The 27,454-nt window shown below is 42.9% G+C and overlaps 1 protein-coding gene across 9 annotated transcripts in view; it reads left to right on the top strand.

Annotated features, from left to right (window-relative positions):
• SPRED2 (sprouty related EVH1 domain containing 2) overlaps nt 1–27,454 on the top strand; it is a 125,425-nt gene that overhangs the window by 80,825 nt on the left and 17,146 nt on the right. For 7 of the 9 annotated variants that reach the window (XM_005264202.6, XM_005264200.6, XM_047443712.1 and 4 more), the window contains exons 2-4: nt 6,879–7,056; nt 17,002–17,170; nt 19,724–19,788. In XM_005264202.6, coding sequence (XP_005264259.1) covers nt 6,879–7,056; nt 17,002–17,170; nt 19,724–19,788 — 412 coding nt within the window. The other 2 variants (XM_047443711.1, XM_017003576.2) reach the window with 2 other exon arrangements.

Below are 27,454 nucleotides of genomic sequence, written 5' to 3'. Positions count from 1 at the left end.
TTCTACTGAAGCATTTTGTTGATTCTTTTTAAAAAGATCACTAGTCATATGTATTTTATATTCACATATACTTCATACACACATATATAATATTTTAAACATATAATTCGATGAAATCAAAGAGCCTTTATAAATCTATAAGCACAAGGAAGACCGGGGGCGGGGGATGTGATTAAAATAAAGTGAGTGTGCCTGGCTCCCTGCAAGAAGTTGGTGTTATATTTGGCTCAGCTGGCGTCTGGGAGTTGGGCTGGAGAGGCTGGGATCTTGGCTAATCCCTCTCAAGGTCTGGTGAAGTGGAGAAGAGGCTGGGAGGAAGTGAATCTAATGTTGAGCATAATGGAGAGATAAAGGAGCCGTGTAATCAGATAAGGGCTGGCTGTAGGAAGTATTTATGGGGGAGGTAAAAGTCCCAGTCTCCATCCCTGAAAGAAATGGGGAGGGGCAGGAGCAGAGGGCCAGTTCACAGATGGCGGACAGCATTATTTTCTTCTACAGGTATGCCTGCAGTGGACGACTAAACCTGGTCTTTATAAACCTGACTTCTCTTGACAATTGCTGGAGGTCCATGTCAAATTTCCTCCTACTGTCAAGAGCCTGACAGCTTCCCTGCCCCTCCACTCTCTGATAGCTGGAAAGGGCAGGCAGTCGAAACCCACTCCTCAGTGGCCAGGGAAGCTGGTGTTTCAAGGACCTGTTTTTGTCACTGAGGTAGCCTTTCAGCAAAAATGATGATGGTTACAACTTACCAAACTTCTGGATCTGACACGACCTGTAACACTACTTTCAGCCAGCAGGGTAGATCCCCTATTCATTTTGCAAAGGAGGAAACTGAAGCTTAAAAAGAGGTTTCTTCAGCTCCTGAGAGGGCTGGGGACTTCAGGGCCGCCTGGCCCTAGAGCACACATTCTTTGTGAGACCCAGTGCTGCCTCGCCGTCATCTCCTACACTTCCTTGGTTTATGTCTGTAACGTGGCCCAGACGGGGCCTGCTTTGAAACTGGAGAACACTTAGAACATAAAGGCTGAGGTCTAAAACTTTCCTGTGGAGATGCTAATCCAGTTTTGAAAGATTTTTTTCTCTGCCTTCCTATCCTGACTTACAATGTCACCTGCCTCTTTTGCATATTGCGTGATCCCGGGACAGGAAGCCCTGTTTTTACAAAAAGTCCACATGTTGGGAACACAAGGCTTTTTCCTTAAAGAAGCCACATTTAAATGGGAGATCCTCAGTCCAGCCAGTTTTGCTCATAACACAACTAAAGAATATGGTATTGAGGGCTGGTCGTCCAACACCATTTGTAATAACATTGTTGGGGCTGTTCAGCTCAAGTTCAGACACTCGGGCTCCATTCAGTTGGGGTTTGGACCCTTGGCTGGAGCTTCACTAGATCCACACCATTACAGCAGTTGTTAATTTCAGAAGCATTCTTTTAAAATGTTGTTATTTTTGACAAAGATAGCATGTTTTGACATTTTTTTCTAAGGCATACCAGCAGCAGTTTCCTTGTGCAAATTTTTAAAACTAATCTGCCCTTGCCCTTCCTGCCCCATCCCCCCACCACTAACAAACCCTGCATCTGTTTTAAACAGATGTTGTTTAATTCTTTCCAGAAAGAGGGGGAGGGAAGGTGGGAAGAGAGTTTTCCTCCTTTATACCTTTTTGGTAGTGGAGTTCATTGTCATTTCTGTGCTGGGTGGGGTGAAGTGCCTGAGTAACGTAAATACACCATGGATAGGAAGCAGTTGGCACGCAGCCATGCAGCTGGATTATCCAGACATCCTTTGCAGCTTTTAGTCCAGCACTTTATCCCCCTGCCTTGTTTTAAATAGCCAGATGCCTCAGTTAATGCTGGCTGTCGGGGCTGTTGCCGGAGGAGACAAAGGGGGCTTCTGCCCCTGAGCCTCCCCTTCCCCCAATCCCATCACAGAGAAGTCTATACCCTGGAGAAGGCACTTGATAGGAGGCATCGAGGCAGGAAGGAGGAGGCCTCAGAGTGCAAGCAAAGGCCAGAGTTAACAGCCTTGTAGTCTGGACACAGAAGGGTATGGTATTTTTAAATTCTCTAACAAATGGGTACTTTTTGGAAATAAGTTTATGGCACTAACATAAGTAATGCAAACTTCTCTTTTTCATGTTTACTTAATCCCCTCAAAGAAACAGAACAGCACATAACTGCAACACAAAAAAAGTGAAAGCATGTTTTAACAAGAGGTGCACAGAGTTTCAATTCTTCACCTTAGCCATCTCCTGTTGAGATGAACCCATAGTATACTTATAGAAGATTTGAGAAAGCTGTGTTGCACACTAGAGAATTAAAAGTCGTAGGACCCTTAGGTTTTTTTGTTTGTTTGTTTGTTTTTAAATAAATGGGGTTGGAGTGGGGGAAAGGATATTCTCCAAAGTTGTATGCAGTTAATCTAAATAAATGTTACAGAAGATTCTTTTTTTTTTTTTTTTTTTTTTGAGACAGAGTCTTGCTGTGTCGCCAGGCTGATCTCTGCTCACTGCATTCTCTGCTCACTGCAACCTCCACCTCCTGGGTTCAAGCAATTCTCCTGCCTCAGCCTCCTGAGTAGCTGGGATTACAGGCGAAAGCACCGCCACGCCCAGCTAATTTTTGTACTTTTAGTAGAGACGGGGTTTCACCATGTTGGCCAGAATGGCCTTAATTTCTTGACCTCATGATCCGGCCGCCTCAGCCTCCCGAAGTGCTGGGATTACAGGCGTGAGCCACTGCGCCCAGCCCAGAAGGTTCTTAATCTAAGGGAATATGCATGTTGAATCCTGAAATAGTTGGATTAGTCATATATGTACATGTATGTCCTATGACTTTTATATGTACTTCTACATGATTTTTCAATTTTTAGGAATAGAAAGTACTGTGATCCCAATTTAGTAATTGTGGTTCATAAGTAAATAAGTATTGAACACTATATGTTTTTATAGGAATTCTGTTAGCCATAGATTTTTTTTTTTTTTAGACGGAGTTTTGCTCTTGTTGCCCAGGGTGGAGTGCAGTGGCGCGATCTCAGCTCTGCCTCTGGGGTTCAAGCTATTCTCCTGCCTCATCCTCCCGAGTAACTGGGATTACAGGCGCCCACCATCAAGCCCAGCTAATTTTTTGTACTTTTAATGGAGACGGGGTTTCACCATGTTGGCCAGGCTGGTCTTGAACTCCTGACCTCAGGTTATCCGCCCACTTCAGCCTCCCAAAGTGCTGGGATTACAGGCATGAGCCACCGCTTCCAGCCTGCTATAGATAATTTTTTTTAAACCTGTTTATATTGTGAATTTAACCCCATTCATTCCGCAACCTGTTACATATAAGACACCATTCTAGGCTCTAGGGATATAGCAGTGAACAAAAAAGGCAAAGTTTCTGCTCCTGTGGAATTCATATTCTGGTAGGCAAGCAGATATTTTATTGAGCAAGCATTGATTTAGTAGCATATAGAAAGCCAAAGCAGAGGGGAGAAGATTTAAGAGGGGTGGAGGGTGCTATGCTGCTTTATATAGAGTGGGCAGGGAAGTCCTCTCTGAAATAACCTTGGACAGAGACTTAAGTGAAATAAGAGAATGAACTCAGTTGGTATGTGAGGAGTAGGATTTGAACAGAAGAAACAGCAAGTGCAAAGGCCCTGAGGTAGAAGGATGCTTAATATGGAGGCCAGTGGGACCAAAGTGGAATGAGCAAGGAGAGTAATAGGGTAAGGTCCAGATTTTGACTTCTGCTTGGCGATACCACTGGAGGGTTTGTTTCAGTAGAATGATCTGACTTACCTTTCTATTTTCTGGGTTAAGTTGGGCAAACGTGGAAGCAAGGATGCCAGTTAGAAGGCTACTGCAGCAATCTCAATGGAAGGTGATGGCAGCTGGATCAGGTCAGTGTCAGTAGAAGTGGAAAAAGTGGATCCTGGATATATTTTGAAGAGAGAACTAGAAGGATGAGGAGGTGTCAGGAACCAAGAGAGTTCAACCTGAAACATGTTGATTGTGATACGTATTCGATGCCTATGTAGAGACCTCACATAGGCCCTTGGTTCTACTGGCCTGAATCTCACAGAAGAGACCTGGATGGAAATGTGAATTTGGGCACTGTTGGTATGTAGAAGGTTTTTAAGTGGAGGAAGTTGGCCCTAGCTTGAATCATGGATGGCTTAACCACAGTTACAGGAGGAAGGGCGGAGAGAGTGCTGGTACAAAGCGTAGGCATGGTGGTGGGCACAGGCGAAAGGTCTCCTGTGATTTTGTCTATTTTCTCAGTGAAACTAAAGCAACTTCATCCATCATCTGAGAGTGAGGGGGTAGGAGGCCATGTGAAGTTGTCTTTGGGGGACAGATCAGGGAAATGTAGCAGGATGCCAGGTGGCACTTAAGGATTCACTTGAGAGTAGTGTTTATGGCTTTAAAACTAGTCCTATGAGCATAGTAGAGTGGGGTTTTTCCCTCTCACTATGTTCAGCAGCCTGGGTGGGGTTACAGAGTAGGTAGATGGTAGGATTTAACTCCACTGGGGTCATGCCAGGCAATGGCAACAAGCAAGGGGAGGAGTAGAGAATCAGTTGAGGACATGGGGTTTGGGGGAGGGCAAAAGTGGTCAGAACAATAGATTGTTGGCCCCAACAGGGTAAAGAATTATTGGAGTCTGGAGGGAGAGAGCTGCAAACTTACGAGGTGGTCGGAGAGCAGGATGCTTACAATTGAGTTATGGAGGTGGTGCAGATATTGGTAATGACGAGATTCACGGTTGACCTGGGCATGAATGGCTAAAGTTGGTTGTAAGACAAGGGCATTGGAAGGAAACAGGCCCAGACACTGAGAGGCCAGGGAATTGGAGGAATCCTCCATGTCAATAATGAAATTATCAAGAATCGGGCCAGGGATCATGGTGGAGAGATGGAGAGTCAGTGAGCCTGGTTGCTGAAGTCTTCAAGGAATGAAGGGAAGTGAGGTCTGTAGAAGACTGAAGAAGGGTTGTGAGAGGGGTCAGGGTGTGAGCTTCAGAAGCACTGGAGGGAGGCTGAATAGTCTGCAGCAGTGGCAAGCACCATACCCACATCTAGGCCCAGCAGGGTGCAGTGGGGAGATAGAAAGCAGCCCTGGGAGAATGGGCCACAGAGGCCCAGCCAAGAGTGCATTTTAATTTAGGTTAGGAAAGGGAAAGGAACTTATATGAGGTACCTAGAGTATCAGATTCATAGAGACAAGACAGTAGAATGGTGGGTGCCAGGGGCTGAGGGGTCGAGGAAGTGGAGAAGGGGGAGTTAGTGTTTTTCATAGGTACAGAGTTTCAGTTTGGAATGACGAAAAGTTCTAGAGGTAGAAAGGGGTGATGGTTGCCCAACAGTGTGGGTGTAATTAATGCCACTGAACTTGTATACTTAAAAATGGTTAAAGCGGGAAATTTTATGCCATTCATATTTTACCGCAATGAAAAAAAAAATGAAAGGAATGATCAGAGAAGGGGATGAGGAAGTAAAGGGAATGGTAGATCTTGGGTTGGGGGGGCCAAGGGAGATCAGTTGGGTGGCAGTGGAGGGTGAGCCATAGGGGGTCATAGAAAATCTGGTGGCTTTGCCTTTAGCGGTGAGTGAGGTGAGCAGGGCTGTGGGGCACAGGGACTGCCTCCACGTCTCTGGCCAATTGTGGGGACCAGGTTCTGAGTGCCCAGGGTGAGGGCGTCTTCCCTGAGGCCCAGGGAATAATGGGGGTTCTTTGTTACTCTGCAACTTTGTTTCCTGAGAATCTGTTATAACGCCTGGCATATACAACACGCAAATATATGTTTGAATGAGTAAAAATGAATTCTATCCAAAGAAAGAAAACAGCAAGTGAGAATGTAATGGCCTTGCCAAAAATCCAAATAAATTTCCCCCAAAAGTGATGAAGAATGAAAAGAAGCTAGAATTGGTCTCTGGGGGAGAAAAAGGATTTTTGGCAAATGTGCAGAAGAACTTATTGTGAAATTGAGGTTTTAGACTGGAAGAAATAAAATCATAAACAGAAGTCTACAAATATGTAAAGGGTTATTGGAATTGAAATATTTTCCTACCTAGATACGTGATTTCATGGTGAATTTATGATTTGCAAGTAGATTATCCTATTTTATGCTAAATGAGATTCTTGGCTTTATAAAATGTTAAAACTTGGTCATTCATTTTCAACTCATTTTAAAGGGTTGAAACCATAATACCGTCTTAATAGGTTTGTAGTCTGGGCGTGGTGGCTCCCGCCTGTAATCCCAGTGCTTTGGGATGCCAACATGGGTAAATCACCTGATGTCAGGAGTTCCAGACCAGCGTGCCAACATGGTGAAACCCCATCTCTACTAAAAATACAAAAAACTAGCCAGGCATGGTGGCAGGTGCCTATAATCCCAGCTACTTGGGAGGCTGAATCAGAATCGCTTGAACCCGGGAGGCGGAGGTTGCAGTGAGCCGACATCGCGCCATTACACTCCAGCCTGGGCAACAAGAGCGAAACTCCGTCTCAAAAAAAAAAAAAAAAAAAAACAACAACTAAAAACCAAAATAGGTGTGTGTCTTTCCAACCTAAAGATACTGAATTACAGAAATCAATTCATTTATCAGTACTTACACCTAGAAACTGGAGAATATTGTGCCTGTATACATCTTTCGATCACAAGTAATTTTTAATTACTTATCTTTTTTAAAATGTACTTTTATATTGAGTTTAAGTGTTTTGTTTTTTCCCTAAAAGTTGAGATGGACCACTTTTTAAGGTTGCCGCCAAGCATAGATTTCTTTCGATAAAACAAAAAAAGTGCTGGCTGGTGGTCATCTTGCATTTTGAAACGTGTTCTGCAACTACCAGACCATTGTCATGCCCTGTGCTTCTTCTTCTTGTCGTTTTAGTGACAGCTATATTGTGCGTGTCAAGGCTGTGGTTATGACCAGAGATGACTCCAGCGGGGGATGGTTCCCACAGGAAGGAGGCGGGATCAGTCGCGTCGGGGTCTGTAAGGTCATGCACCCCGAAGGCAATGGACGAAGCGGCTTTCTCATCCATGGTGAACGACAGAAAGACAAACTGGTAATGGCAGACATACAACTCGTGGGTTAAATTAGTAACAACTGCTTTCTTTACGTTAAATCATAGTCCTCTTTCCTTAACGTATTTTTTTCTTTCTTTCTCTGACTTCAAACTCTTGCAAAAGCTTCAAAAGTTAGAACCCCGGAGCTGGTGCCAAATTGTAAAACGTGACTGTCCTTTCCAGCAAAGTCTCTTTTGACCACACGCTTTATCCGAGATGCTTAGAAGTATATTTGGCTGTTTTATTTGCATCTTTGATTAAGATGTCTATCATTGTAAAAAGGTATTCAAAACAAAAGTGTACTCTTTTATTATTATGAATCACATTGTACTGAGCTGTGAAGTCAGTGTTTTAAAAATGTAGAGTTTATTCATGGAGCATGCCATTGAGGTTTGGATGGTGGCAGGTAAAACAGAAAGGCAAGATGTCATCTGACATTAGGCTACTTATAAATAAATGTTTATCTAGCTTTTATTTCATGCCCTAATGAATAAAACATGCTTGGAAAAAGAAAGTAACAAGAAGTAGTGGTATCATACTTTGTGGGTTTTTTTGGGTTTTTTTTTTTTTTTTTTTTTTTTGAGACGGAGTCTCGCTCTGTCACCTAGGCTGGAGTGCAGTGGCATGATATTGGCTCCCTGCAACCTCCACCTCCCAGGTTCAAGCAATTCTCCTGCTGAGTAGCTGGGACTACAGGTGCGCGCCACTACACCCAGCTAGTTTTTGTATCTTTAGTAGAGACAGAGTTTCACCATATTGGCTAGGTTGGTCTCGAACTCCTGACCTCAGGTGATCCACCCACCTCGGCCTCCCAAAATGCTGGGATTACAGGCATGAGCCACCGTGCCTGGCCCATACTTCTATAAATTATTATCCATGCTTATAGATAAATACTTTGGAAAGTAATCATCACCTCCCAAGGGTGGGGGATTGACACTTCATAATATATGGTCTTATGGAGGAACTCAAATGTTCAGTTCTATGTTATGAAGGAATCTATGATAGGAAGGAAAATTGAATGTCCAAAATCTGTTTTAAATTCATGGCCCTAAACATGGAAGAACACTACTTCTATCTGTATTTGATCATGGAGTGTATACTCAGAAGCCAACAGATGATTCAGAATGTGCAGGATTGTGCAGGATCCCACAGAGAAAATGCAAAGACACCACAAGAATATGTCAGTGTTACATCTGAGACCCTTTACAGCAGCATCTGTTGGGTTTTATGTGTTAAGTGTACAAATTTAACCTTCTTTTGCAAGCACTTCTTATAGTTTAAAAAAATTTAGAAAATAGATAAGACAGAACAATTTGTAAATGTTACATGTGGGTTAACAGAAATGTTATTTTCACATTTGATTTCATTTCTGAAAATTTAAAGGGAGAAGACAGCTAATTTTAAGAAGTATTTGTTCAGGAAATACCCTATATAATAGTCAAATAATGAAAACATTCTTGTTTATAATATTTTTGCAATAAAAAGCAATGTAACTATATTACCAATAAAAAGTAAAATGACTACCATTTATCTAGCATTTACCATGTACTAAGTATAATCCAGCCCTTCGGTTAGATCTCTCATTGTATCCTTACAGCAGCCTGTATAATTGTAATTGAAGAAATTATGATTCAGAAAGATTCCTTGTTCTTAGTGGCCTGTTTTGGGGGCCTGGAACCAGTATTTGATTCTCTTGTCACTCTGACCCCAAAACTGAACAACCACCCTTAGCCCTTTGATGTAATTTTCCCACTTTGTACTTTTTTTTAAAAAGGCAGGATCTCACTTTGTTGCCCAGGCTGGCCTCCAACTCCTGGGCTTCAAATGGTCCTCCCACCTCATCCTCCAGAGTAGCTGGGACTACAGACACATGCCACTGTGCCCAGCCATATTTTTAAACAGTTGTGTATCTTATTTATTTTGCCTTAAACATTCTCTTTCAAGACTATCATGAAACAACATTGCCCTAACATTCTCATATGAAATTTTCCATGTTGCTGATATCAGTTTGATGTTTCATTATTTGACCACCTCCTTAGTGTCAAATATTAAGGTTCTTCCCCTCACCTCAGTGTTAGGAATACACCTATGTGAATTTTCCACGTTTATTATAGTTTTGGAATAATTTAGGAGGTCATATTTTTATGACTTTTGATACATGTGCAAGGAGCTGCTACCAGTATTAGAATTTCCTTTAACACATTGAGGGATATAAAATATACATACATATATAATATACGTATACAAAATATTCATACATATATAATATATATACAAAATATACATACATATAATATACGTATACAAAATATACATACATATATACATATACAAAATATACATACATATAATATACGTATACAAAATATACATACATAATATACGTATACAAAATATACATACATAATATACGTATACAAAATATACATACATAATATACGTATACAAAATATACATACATAATATACGTATACAAAATATACATACATAATATACGTATACAAAATATACATACATAATATACGTATATAAAATATACATACATAATATATGTATATAAAATATACATATAAAATCTTATTGCTTGCTAATTAATAAAATGTTTTTCTGTTTGTTAAACAGTTATAACTGTGAATTAATTATCTGTTGATGTCCTTTGTATATTTACTTATCAGGGCCTTATTTTTCTCCTTCATGTGTATGCCCTCTTGCATAATAAAGATATGAATCTCCATCTGTCATATTTGCTGCAAGTATATTTTTATAATCTGTTGCTTGCCCTTTTAGTTCTTATTTTTATATATATAGAAATTTTTTTCCACTTCTTTGGTCTTTTTGTTTTTAGGGTTATTCTGTGTTTTACCAGATTATCTTGTCTGAAGGCTTATGTTTTTAGAGCTACTTTTTCCTGGTATTTCTATGGTTTGTCATAGAATACTTCAACCTAAAGTGGCCCTTTAGCTTATCTAATCTAGTCACTGGTAAGACATTACTAGTGCATAGTAAACTTTTACCATTTGTTCCAGGTCCTTTAAGTAAATAACCTCAGTTAAATTCCTGCAACATTTTGAAGGAGGAAGATACTACTATTTCCACATTGTAGTGGGGAAACTCAATGCTCTAAGAAGTGAGCCACGTCCTTGGCATGGGGTGGGCAGTGTCACCAGCAGAGCCTGCGTTTGAGCTCATTTCTTTGCAAAATCAAAGCCTGTCCCTTCACACTAACTTGGCATAATATTAGGGCAGTCCAGTCCTCTGTCCGCCCCCGCTGAGTCGTGGACCAACTGCTGTTGTTTGTTGCTAGTGTACACAGATTGCACTATCCTAAAAGTGTGCCTCATCCCCTCCCCCATCATGTTTCTCCATTTCCCCACCCCTTTTCCTGTCCCCTTTACATTCCTTGACTCCACACTTGTGGGCTTTTATATTCACTAGTACCTAAGTCACACACCCATATGTCCTGCTGTACTTCTCTGTCTCTCCATCCCTCACCTTGCCTGTTTCACACTCCAGGAAATTCTGGATTTCTGTACTGAGTGGTACTTAACCCCTCCCCTCACACCCATACCCAGCACACTCATGCACATGCACACACACACACACACACACACACGCCCGTACCCAGTCTCCCTTCCTCTCTCTCTCTCACTGCCCTCCCCCCCACCACCCCGCCCCTTTCTCTCTCCTTAGAGATATGATAACTCTTCCTTTGGCCTCTCAAGCTTCTCTAATGCAATGCTAGTGCCCACTGGAGACCATGCGCCCACATGGGAGCTCTGCAAATGTGGTGAGTTATTGAGGAACCCCCCTCTAAAAGGTGGAATGGCAAAGAAAAGATGAAGATTATTTTTAGGATATATTGGATGGATTGTATCAGAGTTCCCAGTATTCCAACTAGGGCATGAAGTGCTCTTTCAGATAGAAACAGTGTTGTCAGTTTTTACAATGTAGTGCACATCTAGAATTCAGCACATTGTGGGAGTTTGTTTCGTTACATATTGAGGGCTGTTAACTACCATTGTTTCTGTGGGAAAAGTCTCTGTTCCAGACAACCATTCACGAGTAGTCAGGTAATTTTTTGGTAAGCTGGGGACAGTCAAGCCTGAGAAATTATATTTAAATTAAAATTTTCTGAGTTGAATCTCATTTTTAGATGGATTAGAGGAGTTTACTCCTGAAACAAATCTTATGAGAAACCTCTTTATGGAGACTAATCACAAAATCTAAGAGTTTGATCATTCCAGTCATTGCCCATGTGTAGGTCAGCGAGCATTCTCACATAACATTTGGTGGGAATTTGAGCTGGCAAAGCTCTTTGAAAAGCAATTTGGCAGGATTTTAATTTTAAATGTGCATATCTTTTTACCTAGCAGTTCACATCTAGAACACTATCCTTTAGAAAAAGACTTAAACACACAGAGATTTATGGACAGTAACAGTTCTTAAACTTTTTTGGTCTCAGGATCCCTTTACACTCCAAAATTTTATTCAGGACCTCAGAGAGCTTTTGGTTTGGTGAGTTACAGCTATTTATAACTTGCCATATTAGAAATTAAAATGGAAAAAATTTAAAACTTTTAATTAAACAGTATTGTTAATATAAATGACATTTTATGGCAAATAACTGTATAACTTTTCCAGAACAAAAGTAATTATGAGAAGAGTGGCATGGCTTTATGTTTTTGAAGATCTCATTAATATCTGGCTTACCAGAAAATAGCTGGATTCTGGTATCTGCTCCTGCTTTTAATCTGTAATATATTATTTTGGTTGAAGTATATAAAGAAAATACAGCTACTCACAGAGAAGGGGAGTTAGTAAGGGGAGAAATATTTTAATAGCCTTTTCAGACAATTGTAGATATTCTTCTTTGATACTACACTAAAACTCAACCATGTGGAATCTGAAATCTATCAATGGACCTTTCATACTCTGTTACATTACCACCCACTGGTTTATCTTTCACTTTCTTTTTTTTTTTTTTAGGATTTTTTTTTAATTTTATTTTATTTTTTATTGATCATTCTTGGGTGTTTCTCACAGAGGGGGATTTGGCAGGGTCATAGGACACTAGTGGAGGGAAGGTCAGCAGACAAACAAGTGAACAAAGGTCTCTGGTTTTCCTAGGCAGAGTGTTTGTGTCCCTGGGTACTTGAGATTAGGGAGTGGTGATGACTCTTAACGAGCATGCTGCCTTCAAGCATCTGTTTAACAAAGCACATCTTGCACCGCCCTTAATCCATTTAACCCTGAGTGGACACAGCACATGTTTCAGAGAGCACAGGGTTGGGGGTAAGGTCATAGATCAACAGGATCCCAAGGCAGAAGAATTTTTCTTGGTACAAAACAAAATGAAAAGTCGCCCATGTCTACTTCTTTCTACACAGACACGGCAACCATCCGATTTCTCAATCCTTTCCCCACCCTGCCCCCCCTTCCATTCCAGAAAACCGCCATCGTCATCATGGCCCATTCTCAATGAGCTGTTGGGCACACCTCCCAGACGGGGTGGTGGCTGGGCAGAGGGGCTCCCCACCTCCCAGTAGGGGCGGCCGGGCAGAGGCGCCCCTCAGCTCCTGGACCGGGCGGCTGGCCGGGAGGGGGCGCTGACCCCCCGCCCAACCTCCCTCCCGGACGGAGCGGCTGGCCCGGCGGGGGGCTGAGCCCCCCACCTCCCTCCCGGACGGGGCGGCTGGCCGGCCAGAGGGGCTCCTCACTTCCCAGTAGGGGCCGCCGGGCAGAGGCGCCCCTCACCTCCCGGACGGGGCGGCGGGGCAGAGGCGCTCCCCACATCTCAGACGATGGGCTGCCGGGCAGAGACGCTCCTCACTTCCTAGATGGGATGGCGGCCGGGAGGAGGCGCTCCTCACTTCCCAGGTGGGATGGCGGCCGGGCAGAGACGCTCCTCACTTTCCAGACTGGGCAGCCAGGCAGAGGGGCTCCTCACATCCCAGACGATGGGCAGCCAGGCAGAGACGCTCCTCACTTCCCAGACGGGGTGGCGGCCGGGCAGAGGCTGCAATCTCCGCACTTTGGGGGGCCAAGGCAGGCGGCTGGGAGGTGGAGGCCGTAGCGAGCCGAGATCACGCCACTGCACTCCAGCCTGGGCACCATTGAGCACTGAGTGAATGAGACTCCGTCTGCAATCCCGGCACCTCGGGAGGCCGAGGCTGGCGGATCACTCGCGGCTAGGAGCTGGAGACCAGTCCGGCCAACACAGCGAAACCCCGTCCCCACCAAAAAAACACAAAAACCAGTCAGGCGTGGCGGCGCGCGCCTGCAATCGCAGGCACTCGGCAGGCTGAGGCAGGAGAATCAGGCAGGGAGGCTGCAGCGAGCCGAGATGGCAGCAGTACAGTCCAGCTTTGGCCCGGCATGAGAGGGAGACCGTGGAAAGGAGAGGGAGAGGGAGACGGGAGAGGGAGAGGGAGACGGGAGAGGGAGAGGGAGACGGGAGAGGGAGAGGGAGACGGGAGAGGGAGACGGGAGAGGGAGAGGGAGACGGGAGAGGGAGAGGGAGACGGGAGAGGGAGAGGGAGACGGGAGACGGGAGAGGGAGACGGGAGAGGGAGAGGGACTCTTTCACTTTCAATAGATCTCTTACTCATCCCTGATTTTGTAACATCATGCACTGGTCACCTGAAAAATAGTGCTCCACTGAGTTAAGCAGATCTTCCAAATGTTGATACATTTTATTCTATAATATCAAAAAACTACATTTCTTAGTATTGCCACTAACTCATTAATATAAAAAAACTACATTTCTTAATATCGCCACTGACTCATTAATATCAAAAAAACTACATTTTTTAATATTGCCACTGACTCATTAGAAAAGTCTTTAAGTACCAGGAAGCTGTCTAGAATTCTAATTTATACTTCAAATATAGATAAGGATGTAAATTGCAGCATTGCCTTCAAGGTGACCAATTCTTACTGACATAAATGTCCGTTAGTATGGAGAATGGTTGAATAAATCTAATACATCCATACAGATGAATTAAACAATTATTTTACCTTCCTGTATCTCTATGACATATTTTTAAGGAAAATAAAAAGCAAGTTAAAAACAACTTATAGGTGTGGCTACATTTAAACACAGTTGCCCTTACACAGAAACTTACCTGTGTATATGTAAAGAAGCCACAAAATGGAAACTGGGATTGTGCCCGCTCTACTGACAGTGGGGAACTCGACAGAGAGGGATGTTGACGGTGGAGGGGAGAGATGAGTAGGAATGGAGTCCTCATGTCTTCAGCTAATACTTAAATCTCCCACAACATGTATTTCTTGTGTAGTTTTTTTTTTCAAGTCTCGAACAAGAACATAATCACTTTTTTTCTCCGTATGCATCTTATTTAAACGGGTATTTTTTAAAGCCTTTCTCAAGTTTTAAGTTAGTGTCTAATTGTGTGCGTGCCAAAACTTCACCAGAGAGTTTATATCTGTTGGGAAGATTAAAGCATCTAAAACCTTTTCATTTTTGTCTTTAAACTTAGATACATATGATACTATTTTGCTTTAGAGGACATAAAGAGATGGTATCTGATTTCCCCCCTCACTTAATTTAGGTGGCTGAACTTATTTTACTCAAACTTTATTTTTTTTTTGAGACAGAGTCTTGCTCTTTCGCCCAGGCTGGACTGCAGTGGCACGATCTCGGCCCACTGCAAGCTCCGCCTCCCGGGTTCACGCTATTCTCCTGCCTCAGCCTCCCTAGTAGCTGGGACTACAGGTGCCCGCCACCATGCCCGGCTAATTTTTTGTATTTTTAGTAGAGATGAGGTTTCACCGTGTTAGCCACGATGGTCTCGATCTCCTGACCTCATGATCCGCCCGCCTCGGCCTCCCAAAGGGCTGGTATTACAGGCGTGAGCCACCGCGCCCGGCCATTTTACTTAAACTTTTCTAAGAAAATGTACCTTTGGAATAATTTCAAAGTTGGAAAATATCAACCAAAGACTAATTTTTTCACCCCCAAAATATGGAGAAACTAGGAGTCTTTGTTTTTAGAATACAAAAAGTTTATTTTGAGACTTTGAATTGAGACTATTAAATTCTAAAATAGATAACATTTGTTAAATTCTTGATTATTTGGATTTCCCCAATGTGGAATGGGGCTGGGCTGACATTTAATCATTGTGCTATTCTTAGGGGGAAATGGCTATAATAAGCAATTTAATCATAAATAGAATTATGGGAGGGAACTGTTGTCCGATCTCAATACAATGTAATAAAGTTAACTGCTTGGGACTACTATTTGATATACCAATTTGAATATTATTCTCATTTTTTTATTAAGTTAGGGAACATTCATTAGACAACCCTTAATTTATTTCTCGTTTGTTTTTTCCTTTTGTTGAGACAGAGTCTCACTCTGTCACCTGGGCTGGAGTGTAGTGGTGCACCTTCTCAGCTCACTGCAGCCTCAGCCTCCCAGGCTCAAGCGTTCCTCCCACCTCAATCTCCTGAGTAGCTGGGACTACAGATGTGTGCCACCACACCCAGCTAATTTTTGTATTTTAGTTAGAGACAGGGTCCTGCCATGTTGCCCAGGCTGGTCTCAAACTCCTGGGCTCAAGTGATCCTCTTGCCTCAGCCCCCAAAAGTGCTGGGATTACAGGCATGAGCCACTGTACTGGCCTCCTTCTTTTTGCTTTGATCTATTCTTAGAATTTATACTTATTTAAAGATATTCTCTAATTTATCTGTATACTAATTTAGGCAGGTCTTTACTCTTGTCCTTCATTTAGTCTAAATTAATAAGATCACATTGCGGTAAATGCAGATCTTTGCCAGAACAAGATTGGGCTATTAAAACTTAGCAAAATCATTATGGTGTTTGTAATGAAGCCATAGGAATAAATATTGTAAGTAGTCTGAGTTTTTTAATGAATAAAGAATGAAGTTTACGTTCAAATTATTGCAATGTTTCTTTTCTATAATATTAAATAAATTCTAGTATCTCTATCAACTGTGCTAGACGGGGTTATTTTATAATCTTGACTTTTTGTAGTCTAGTTAGGGGAACAAGACTAATACACATGAAACTGTTAAAGAATAGTTTGAAATCAGGTACTAAATTGTGAAGATGACAAGAAGGAGAATTGGAGTACATATAAAACTTGACAGGGAAGATATACTGGACAATGAATGTGAATTAGGTTTCTCATTTATTCAGTGTTTTCAGAGCATGTTCTTGTTCTCATTGATAACATTGGTGTTCTTTCCATCTTAGAGATAAAAAGATCAATCTACTCATTACAACTCAGTAAAAGCCAGTTCTGAGATTAAATTGCTAGAAACTTGAATATTGTTCTATTAATCCAAACATAAAGTTAATAGAGACCCAGATCAGGGTGGCAGCAACTGAAATGGGGTTGATATAAAAGCTGTTGAAGGAAAAATGAAATGGACCTGGTGATTAATAATACAGGAGATAGGCAGAGGAGGCAAAGATGACCACAGAGATGATGAGCCAGAGAAAAAGAGTGGAGAGGGATTGGTATTGCCAGAAGTTGGGAGAGGAGAAATTTTAGAGTAAAGTTAATTTTTCAACTTTTGGAATTTGGAGCCTCGGGGGAGGGAAGCTAGATGACCATCAATATAAAAACCCCAACATAAAAGCAGTAATCTGAAATACAGCCAAGACCCAAGACCTGAGCATCAACTTAGTGCCCTGCAGCCAGGAGGAAGAGGAATAACCGTGATGAAGAGAGTGTAGTGAAGGGGTACAACCAGGACAGTGGGGAGCAGCGAAGATCGGATGGTCAGCAGCCAAGCAAAGCCTCCTTTCCCATTGGAGAGACTCACAGATATGTGAAGGCAGGGGTTAGAGGGGTTTTGGTAGTTGCCACCAGTGATGGTTCCTAATTAGACTTCTGTAACCAGACATCATCATGGCTGTTCCACTAGTAACCAGCCTGTGTGTTTCCATCCTTCAGGTGGTATTGGAATGCTATGTAAGAAAGGACTTGGTCTACACCAAAGCCAATCCAACGTTTCATCACTGGAAGGTCGATAATAGGAAGTTTGGACTTACTTTCCAAAGCCCTGCTGATGCCCGAGCCTTTGACAGGGGAGTAAGGAAAGCAATCGAAGACCTTATAGAAGGTATTGAACTTGTCGCTGCATTCTTAGTGGGACTATGGAAATGTTCCAAATTATTTTTAATTCCAATAGTCTGCCATCATTTATTTGTGGTTTATTTGCGGGAGGGTTTGGGACCAGGTCAGTAGATGCCAAAACTTTTGGAATTTCCAAGGAGAGTAATTAAAGTGACAATTCAGGGAAAAGGAGATGGGTTTCAGAGTAAGGAGTAATCCCAATTGATTTTTAGACTCTGCTGTGAAAAAACAGGCAGGTTCTGGATTTCCATGTGCATGTATTTTTGACTGCTTTCACCTTGTCCTGACTATTGAAATGGCTTTGGTCTGGTCTGTCTTGGCTCAGAAGTAGAGAATGGATTCTGGCGGGCCCAGAAGGCTCCTGGCCTACCCACTGTCCTCCTGTAATCAGAGGCCCAGGGTGTACAGCTGCCACTGAAAAGGAAAGGGATCTGTGACCTCTGGAGCCCTGGTTCGGTTTAGGCCTTGGTCTATGGGTAAGTGAGTAGTAGGCATTGTGTTACATCTGATCGTGGCCTGGAGGGCCCTTGGGCAGTCAGTTCTCATGGTGGGCTTGACTAGAGTCCACAGATGCAAACACAAAAATTCTCCACTGCAGCACATCCAGGTATCAAATCAGAGGGTTAAAGAAGCCATAGACAGGGCCCTGTGAAGAAAGAAATATCAAGCAAGGCATGTTAATACCAAATTCAGATCTTGGGGAAATTAATCACAAAAGGATGTATGTTTCATTTGCTTAAGAAATAAAAGTGTTCTGAAGTCATTTTCTTCATTGTGGATTTGGGGGAAGAGGAAAAAAAGCAAGTCTTAAAAGACAAATTACTTAACATTATAATCAGTAGTAAGACAAGACTAGCTAGAACATGAATCCATAAACAAGTATGAGATAGCCAAAAAGAGATAATAAAAACCAGTGTTCAAATCATAGTTCTGACATAAGTGGCAAATATTTAAAATGTTATTAAACACAGCTTTTTCATGTTTAGAGAAAAAACAGCTCCTATATTATTGATAGACGTTCGCATTGTGTCCATGTACTTAATTGCACAACATTTCATTCTCCTACTTGTAATTTTTTTCTCTATATACATACTATCTAGCTTTTTTTTCCACCAGTTTTCCTAGAACATTGGTTGATTGGAGTAATTCAGAGTAGAGACAGCTCCCGAAAGACCAGTAGGAGTTGCACAGAACATACTATGGGACTGTTGTTTTTTCTCCTGCAGTCTCTCGTTGGAAATTTAAGTATTTCTCATCCTTTCTGAGCAATTGTTTTCATTTCAATTTCATGTAATAGCAAAATATTTTCTTTTTCTTTTTTTTTTTTTTTTGAGATGGAGTCTCCAGCCCAGGCTGGAGTGCAGTGGTGCCATCTCGGCTCACTGCAACCTCCGTCTCCCAGGTTCAAGCGATTCTCATGCCTCAGCCTCCCCAGTAGCTAGGATTACAGGCGCCCGCCATCACACCCAGCTAATTTTTGTATTTTTAGTAGAGACAGGGTTTCACTATGTTGGCCAGGCTGGTCTTGAACTCCTGACCTCGTGATCTGCCGGCCTCAGCCTCCCAAAGTGCTCGGATTGCAGGCGTGAGCCACTGCGTCTGGCCAGCAAAATATTTTCTAAATGCATATTTTAAAAGATCTAACCAAGAAAAGGAAAAGATAGAGAATAAATTTCCCTTTTGGTATATCTGTCACTGATGCAATTTTAAATATGTCTTTCTTTTGGCCAATTAAGTTGATCCATGCATTATTGTCTGCTATTCAGGGTGGTGGGGGGAAGTAGGGCAGTTGTACCTGATTCGCATACCAGAATGAAGAAAAAGGTGAACAAGTAATTACATTGAACTCTAAAATCCAATTGGTTCCATGATGGAATAAGGAGGGTTTTCTAACAAGAGCTGTAATTTTGACTTGGAAAAACAAAGCAAACTCACTGATGCCTTGGTATTGCAAGAGGAAACCCCCTTGCACAGGTGTCCCCTTAGAAGGGAGCCCACAATTTGGGATTTAGAAATACAACATCTGAATTCAGAACTGGACACAACCATACAAGCTATTGAGCTAAAATGCCTTCATTGGTAGGTGAAAAGACCAGAGGAGCTAAATCCAGTTTACACAGTAGATTGTGGCAGGTCTCACTTAGGGGTTCCCCGTCCAGTGCTTTTCCCACTACACGGCTGGGACCTCAAGGTCACTACAGAGGCTGGGCTCGATGCATGTCCCTCAGAGGAGTGGGCAGCCTCTCCCCTCACCTCCTCCACAGTGCCTTTCTGTGTGCTTATTCTCTAGCAGCGAGTGCAGAAGTTTGAGAGATTAATTGGGAACAACAGCAGGCAAAGTTAATTTAGGGAGCATCCTGGCAAGAATCAATTAAAGAAGAGTAAATTAAAAGCACTCAATTCCCAGGTAACTTGTTTCTGTTGGTAATTCACATGCAAAAAGAATGGAATGTGGTTTTATTAAAATATACTTTTTTAAACGGTTGGATTTGATGTATCCTCTTGGGAAACACTTTTTATTACATTTTTGTCTTTTTAGGTTCAACAACGTCATCTTCCACCATCCATAATGAAGCTGAGCTTGGCGATGATGACGTTTTTACAGTAAGTTTCCTTTGTCCTTTGCTTTCCAGATTAGTTGTTGAATAATCAGAGAAAGGTTTTGTTTAAGGGCATGAGGCACACTTTGCAATGCAGTGTTTGCTGTTGCTGTTTGGATGGCATCAGAGCGATCTCTGTCTTACTACAATTTTTCTCAGGCTGGGTTTGTCCCTGTTGCTCACGCTGCAGTGAGCAACACTGCACATCTGCCACACAGCACAGCAGTGTCAGCTCTCCCAGGTCTGTCCAAGGTTGTCTTAAAGTCTTTGCTCAGATTTAGGATGACCAGCTGCCCTGGTTTGCCCAAGTCTGTCCTGGTTTTAGCACAAAATGTCCCTAGTCCTGGGAAACACCTCAATCCCAGGCAAGCCAGGACAATCGCTTGCCCTATTTGGAGTCTTCTGTGAACACGCTTCCCTCCCTGGCATCAGGGGGGAAAGCCAGCAGTATCTTTCCTGATGAGTAATTAAACATCTGATAAGAAAGGCCTGCAGGCTGACTTAAGGTTAGGCCCAAGTGTGCTAACGCAGGAAAGGGTTTTTAGCTGTTTTGACACAGCTTGAGTTAATGGGATGTAACTGGAAACAAAATGATTTCTCAGCTTGCTGCTTCAGTTAAATCCTGTGCTTCTAGAAGTTAATTAACAAATAGTTCATTGCCTGCCTGCTGTGTGCTTAGAGCAGCAAGTTACGCGGGACAGCATTTTCTTTCTTTCCTTTTTATTTATTTATTTATTTTCAAAGATGGGGTTTCGCTGTATTGCCTAGGCTGGTTTTGAACTCCTGGGCTCAAGCAGTCCTCCAACTTCAGCTTCTCAAAGTGCTGGGATTATAGGTTTATAGGCTTTAGCCACCACGCCCAGCCTGGACAGCATTTTCAAATTCTGGGCCTTGACCCACAATAAGAAATATATGTATGTTGTGACCCAGGACACATATGTCAATAGAAACCTAAAGCAAATCATATTTCATCCTCTGCATTCTGATTTTTTTTCTGTTTCATTTTCTTCCATTTTTTATTATAAAACTTTTCAAGCACACAGAAAAATGTAAAGAATAGTACAGTGAATGCCTGCATACCGTACACCTAACATTCAGCTGTTGTAACATTTGGGCACATTTGCTTGATCTGTGCAAGCGTGTGAGCTTATACACACACAGATATTTTTGTTGTTGATCCATTTGAAAGTAAGTCACCTCTCGTACTTTAGCATGTGTCCCCTGAGGTTCACAAAGGAATTTAAGGGCAGTGACACTACTCTGTATGTCACCGTAATGGCAGATGCATGTCATTATGCATTTGTCCAAACCTGTAGCATGTATAACACCTGAATCCTAATGTAAACCGTAGCCTTTGGGTGATAGTGATGTGTCAGTGTACTTCATCGATTGTCACAAATGTACCACCGTGGTGGGGATGTTGATAATGGGGGACTTTGCATGTGTGGGGACAGGGGAAATCTCTACTTTCCACTCGGTTTTGCTGTGAAACTAAAACTGCTCCAAAAAAAAAGTCTAATAAAAATAATTTTTAAAAGAAATAAGGCATTTTCCTGTGTAAACACACCACCATTACGATCCCTTAGAAAATTAATAAGAATTTCATAATGTCATCTAATATCCACTTCATAGTTCCCCAGTTGTCCCAGGAGTGTCTTTTGTAAGCTGGTTTTTATTTTATATTTTAATATATTGGGTGCAACCCATTAAACTTGTCTCCCATTGTACTCATGGTTTGCAACTGGTGATTTGAAAAACCATTACCTTGGGAATACAAAGGTATGTGAGCCATGGCTCCAACCCTCAAAGAGATCACAAGATGGTTTGCAGAAATGAGACTGACCCATGAGAGGCTTACAGACTGTGAAAAGTAGTCTGGTTGAGAGATGAGGGAGGGGCATGGGATCAAAAAAGTCCTCGCTGGGGGTGAGGCTGGACTGAACCTCTCAGTTGCATTTGAACGGGGTTCAAGAAGGGGCTTTGAGAACTGGGAGCCACAGGGGCAAAGGTGGAAGCAGGGGTTTGCGTGGTGCATAGCCTGATCATTGCCGACCCAACCTGACTTGAACTGAGTGTGCAGAGGGGGTTTCAGGAAATGAACTCAGTTGTCCTTCCTTGGATTGGCTGGTGTGATATAGCTCCCAACAGACTTCCTATAGTGCTCCGAGCAGATCCTCTCAACAGTTGGCATGTTGCTTACATCTGTTCCTTTGTCACGTTTTGAGAGACAAACAACAGCAGGCGGGTTAAAAGGTGGCTTCCTGTGCTCCAGAGCAAACCTGTCATTCGCAGCTGCTTCCCAGCTACCTGCCAGAAGTGATTTATAGAATCAGAAGAGGGTGAGAGGGAAAGGGATGATGGAAGCCAGAATCCCTCCTGGTTTTGTCCTTTAATCCACGGGGGATCCATGTGCTACTCTAGGCTAACACCAAATGCCTGGAAGAAAGTTTAGGAGCAGCCCTGCTGCTTCCGGGCACTTGCAGACTCACTGCAGAAAGAGCACCACTTAATTTCTTGTATTCTGTATAGACCCTGGTGTCTGCGATCAATTGCCTTCATTCCATTTGTTTACAAACAAGGACCTATTAACAATAGTACCTCCTTTCCCTAGAAAAGCCCAGTAATTAGGCCATTGACTCTTAGGAACACACTCCATCAGGGCTTACAAACCAGGTCCCCCTTCATTTATGAGCTCCCTGTCATTAGATTTTCTGTCCTGAGATAATGAAATGTCTGGAACCTAGAGCCAGGGACATGAGCACTGCTTTAGCTCACATGTGGTCCACAGCTTCCCAGAGTGGGGTTGTGTTCTAAAACTTACTGGTAAGACAGATATTTAGAACTTGGAACTCAGCGCAGTTGTGTCTAATGACATCCCAGCCCCCTCCCATCCACCTCAGGTGTTGTCTAAGGCATGGATAGAGCACATAGTTAAAACCAAAGCACCAAGACAATGTTGGTTTTGTCCTAGATGGGCTTTTGGGTATTTGCAAGTTGAGTTTCTTTTCATTCTTAAGTGGAAAAATGAATTTGTTGAATTTTGTACTTATCAAGGTTTCATTTGCAGAAGTAAAAGGGCACAGAATACAACATCTTCCTTTTCTTGAAGAGTTTTTTTCTACCTACTCTATCCCCAGCAAACATTAAAGCTGAGGGCAGATCTACCAGTGTTGTAATGAATGGAGTTCATTGACTGGCTTTCTAAGTGTTTTCTTAAAGGTGAGGTGGCATGTGATCCCTGTGTTTGGAGTCTGAAGAGAGGCCTCCATTCTAAACTGGATTCTCCTTTTAGTTAGCTGTGCTTTGGACTCAAAACCTTCTTGGGATGAACATATTTCTTTTGAGTCTCCATTCACTGGCCCAAGGGGAGGGGAAGGAAAGGGACAGTGATGTGGAACCATTACTGTCCCTGGCATTTTGCACTGGACTCCTGGATACGTGACTGCATTTGGTCCTCACAGCTACCCTGTGAGTACAGATCGACACTTCCATTTTTGCACATAAAGCCACCACAGCTCAGCGAGATGAAGTGACTTGTCCTCAGTTCCACACTCTGCTGTCCCAGAATGCAAGCCCGTAAACTGCTTGCTGCCTTTCAGAGAAGCTTAAGAAAAGGAAATCGTTATCCAACTAAGTTTCAGTACATTTTACATGGTCAGTATACCAGATTCCTTTTATTGCAGAAAAGCTGCCTAAACGATGTGCATTTAAACTGGTACATTGGCTTAAGACCTCAGCCATCTCTTTGCTGGAGGTCTGAGGTTCCCCTGTCCCTACTTGAAAGCCCCAGTCTCATTTTAGAAGATCAGTTGATCAAAAATATTTTCTGGTGTCATTATCTTTAGCATTAAGGGATTGGGGCAGAGGAGGGAAGGGGTGACAAGTAAAAGAGAAAATAGTTTGAAAATATAAATTACTTCTACAAAGTTTAGTGAAACTGATTTATGGTGGGTAAGAAAAGCAAAAATGGGCCGGGCACAGCGGTTCATGCCTGTAATCCCAGCACTTTGGGAGGCCAAGGTGGGCGGATCACGAGGTCAGCAATTCAAGACCAGCCTGGCCAACATGGTGAAACCCCATCTCTACTAAAAATACAAAAATTAGCCAGGCATGATGGCGGGCCCCTGTAATCCCAGCTACTCCGGAGGCTGAGGCAGGAGAATCGCTTGAACCTGGAAGGCGGAGGTTGCAGTGAGCCGAGACCGCACCATTGCACTCCAGCCTGGGCGACAGAGCGAGACTCCGTCTCAAAAAAAAAAAAAAAAAAAAAAAAAAAAGAAAGAAAGAAAAGAAAAGCAAAGATGTTTTGGGAGGGCAGCCCTCCACGTTTTGGTTGACCCCAGGGAGCAGTGCATCCCATAACTACTGCTGATTGAGACCCAACACAGGGTGGGGTGTCAGAAGAAGGTCTCAGAAGATGGGTGGGGACTCCTTTATCTTCTAAATGACAATAACTCTCAAGCTCACATTACGCTGTAAGAGGAGGATCTTTTTATCGACATGTAATACCTATAGTGGCTAAATTAATTAAATGTCTAAGGATCTAAATAAAAGCTTTGGAATGCTCTCAGTTTCAGGAAGCCCCAAGGCATTTTGCAACCCCTGCCACTTGTGTCTTGCTTTATTTACATATATATCATCTCATCTTTTTAAGCTGTGGACAGTGAGAAACTTTTATTTCCATTTTATTAATTCATACAGAGTATTTATTCAAGGTTACTTGAAACCCAGCCTTCCTGCTCCCATCCCCTCAGTCCCTCCAGTGAAGCTAAACTGTGGGTTTATCAGAGTCCTTTTCTTTCATATCAACATATCATCTAACTTTAAAATTTAGAGGCCGTGCATGGTGGCTCACAACTGTAATCCCAGCACTTCGGGAGGCCAAGTGAGGCAGGAGGATTGCTTGAGGCCAGGAGTTTGAGACCAGCCTGGGCAACATACAGAGACCCTGTCCTGTCTCTACATAAAATTTTTTCAAAAAAATTAGCCAGGCATGGTGATGTGCTCCTGTGGTCCCAGCTACTTGGGAGGCTGAGGTGGGAGGATCTCTTGAGCCTGAGAGGTCAAGGCTGCAGTGAGCTGTGATTGTACCACTGTACTCCAGCCTGGGCAATAGAGCAAGACCCTAACTCAAAAAAAAAATTGTTTTTTTAAGAAACAAAAATTTTTCACAAAATTGTTTTTGTTGACCTGGACTGGTGGCTCACGCCTTTAATCCCAACACTTTGGGAGGCCGAGGCGGGAAGATCACTTGAGCCCAGGAGTTTGAGACCAGCCAGAGCTATAGTGAGACCCTATTTCTTTTTCTTGGTTGGTTGGTTGGTTGGTTGGTTTTTGTTGTTGTTAATTTCACAATGAAAGAATCCTCTAGGTCCTAGAGAGAGGATAATGTCCTAGAGTCTAGGACAGAGTCAGAGTCATCTCTCCCCCAAAGCCCCACCAGCAGCTGCCTCAAACTGCCTGCTAGCTGGGATTGTGAAAGAATACAGGTCTGGCCTACTTCCTGATCTGCTGTCTCTTTGAAAGAGGACACCTGGAACCAACGTAGGCCCTCAGGACAGATGAGCCGGAGCTACCTGTTCCCAAAGACCTGTTGACAAAATGGCAGACGACTTCCTGTTTGCCAAAGGAGAAAGGACTGATCATAGGTTTCTCAGCCTTAGTAGACATTGCGGGGAAAATCTTGCAACTCATCCAGTCTGAGCCAGTAGCCTTCTGAGACACTCTCAGGCTGAGGTTAAGAAAGGAACGAATATTATATACGGGGTGGGGGGAGTTGTAAATACTTATATATAAAATGAGAATCCCTTGCAAAAGGAAGAATATTGCCTTAGTTACATCAGCTATTGAGATATATTTTGGTGGTAGATTGCAGCAAAAATAATGCAAATGTAGTCCATAACTACTAGTTAGCTACCTTTAAAAATTCAAAATAGCAGCAGCATCTGCAGACAAGGCAGAAATTCTACTTAATCAATCAAAATTAATCCTGTAACTTTTTTTTTTTTTTGAGACAGTCTTGCTCTGTCACCTAGGCTGGAGTGCAGTGGCACAATATCAGCTCAATGTAACCTCCGCCTCCCGGGTTCAAGTGATTCTCCTGCCTCAGCCTCCTGAGTAGCTGGGATTACAGGCACCTGCCACCACACCCAGATAATTTTTGTATTTTTACAAAGATATTTTCTATTTTGTATACAAAATACTTTGTATTTTACAAAGATGGGGTTTCACCATGTTGACCAGGCTGGTCTCCAACTCCTGACCTCAGGTGATCCATACCCCTTGGCCTCCCAAAGTGCTGGGATTACAGGCATGAGCCACTGCACCTGTCCTAATCCTGTGGTTCTTGAATCAACTAAGCAACGGGCTTAGTCCAACTCCTCTAACCTGTAATGTTCTTAGGAGCAGGTGAGAGGCATTGCACATGAAATTGTTAGGGCTCAAACAGACCTTGGAAATCATCTAGTTCAACTCCCTCATTTTACACATGAGAAAACTGAGGCCCCCAAAAGTTAAACAACTTGTCCAAGATATCTGGCCTGGCCTGAAATTGAGGTTTTCGAATCTCCCTGTATAGTGCTATTTTTGCTTAGCAGTGCTACATGATTCCTGAATGATGTGGTCTAGCTCCTTAAGCAGTTTCTTTAACATTGTTTTCTATGGCCCTATTCAAAACACGTAGGCCCACTGATCTCCCAAATGGGCTGGTCAGAGAGGGCTTGGCTCTTTGCACATTGTGATTTCTGCAGTCAGCCCTTGTGTTCCTGGGAACATGAGGATGATGAAGTGGCTGTACTTGTTTCCTTGCCTCTTGAGAGGAGGGGTTTGTCCCTTTTATCTCCCTCCCTAAGAAGAAGGAAGAAATTACACATTGCCAGCCCTCTAATAGTCTCACCCATGTACTGGATGGGAGCATCCTACTTGAGAAGGCTGTGAACCAGGTGCCCCTTGATAATAATTCCAAGTGTCCTTGAGAAAACAGCCCAGGCACACCTTTTCTTTCCCATAGCACTTTTTGCCAACTGTTGCCTCCTTGTCCTCTGCCCCTACCCTCTTTTAGAAAGCAAAGGTTTAGCAGGAAAACCTAGAGGACTTGAAGGGATGCGCATAGTACTGAAAAGACCTGCGAAATGTGAACGTTGAAATCTGTCCGGCTCGTCCTGAAGACACAGAAAGTGCCCCCAAAAAGTCCTGGGTCAGCAGCCAGGATTCCATCCCAGAATGGACAATTTAAGCAACCTGTCTCCTCAGCTCGTCTGGCCTGGTGGTTCCTTCCCTCCCTCCTTGAGCTTCCCTTGGTCAGAGAGGTGGCCTTCTACATGAAGAAGGTTCATTCTTGGACCCAGGGCGTGTGAGCTGCTGCACTTGCTTCTTTATGAATTTCCCAGTAAACTCAAGGTCCCTCCATAAGAGAGGGAAGAGTAGCCAAGCTTCCAAGAACAAGAGATCATATTGTACAAAAAAGGCTCATACAGCAGGAGGGAGCTGGCTCAGGTTTAACCTGAGGTGTTGCCCTGTTAGTCTCGTTTCTCCATTCAGGCTGATTCCCACCCAAACCAGACAGCATTGACCTTGGGGAAACTGCCAGTCCATTAGCCCAGGCAGTTTCAGCCCAGTGTCTTTTGCACTCAGATTTTGATTGATTGTCAAGCCATCATAACATTAAGGTC

The sequence above is a fragment of the Homo sapiens genome, chromosome 2 (assembly GCF_000001405.40).
Source record: "Homo sapiens chromosome 2, GRCh38.p14 Primary Assembly".
Lineage (NCBI taxonomy): Eukaryota > Metazoa > Chordata > Mammalia > Primates > Hominidae > Homo > Homo sapiens.
This window is presented reverse-complemented; position numbering and strand designations above follow the sequence as displayed.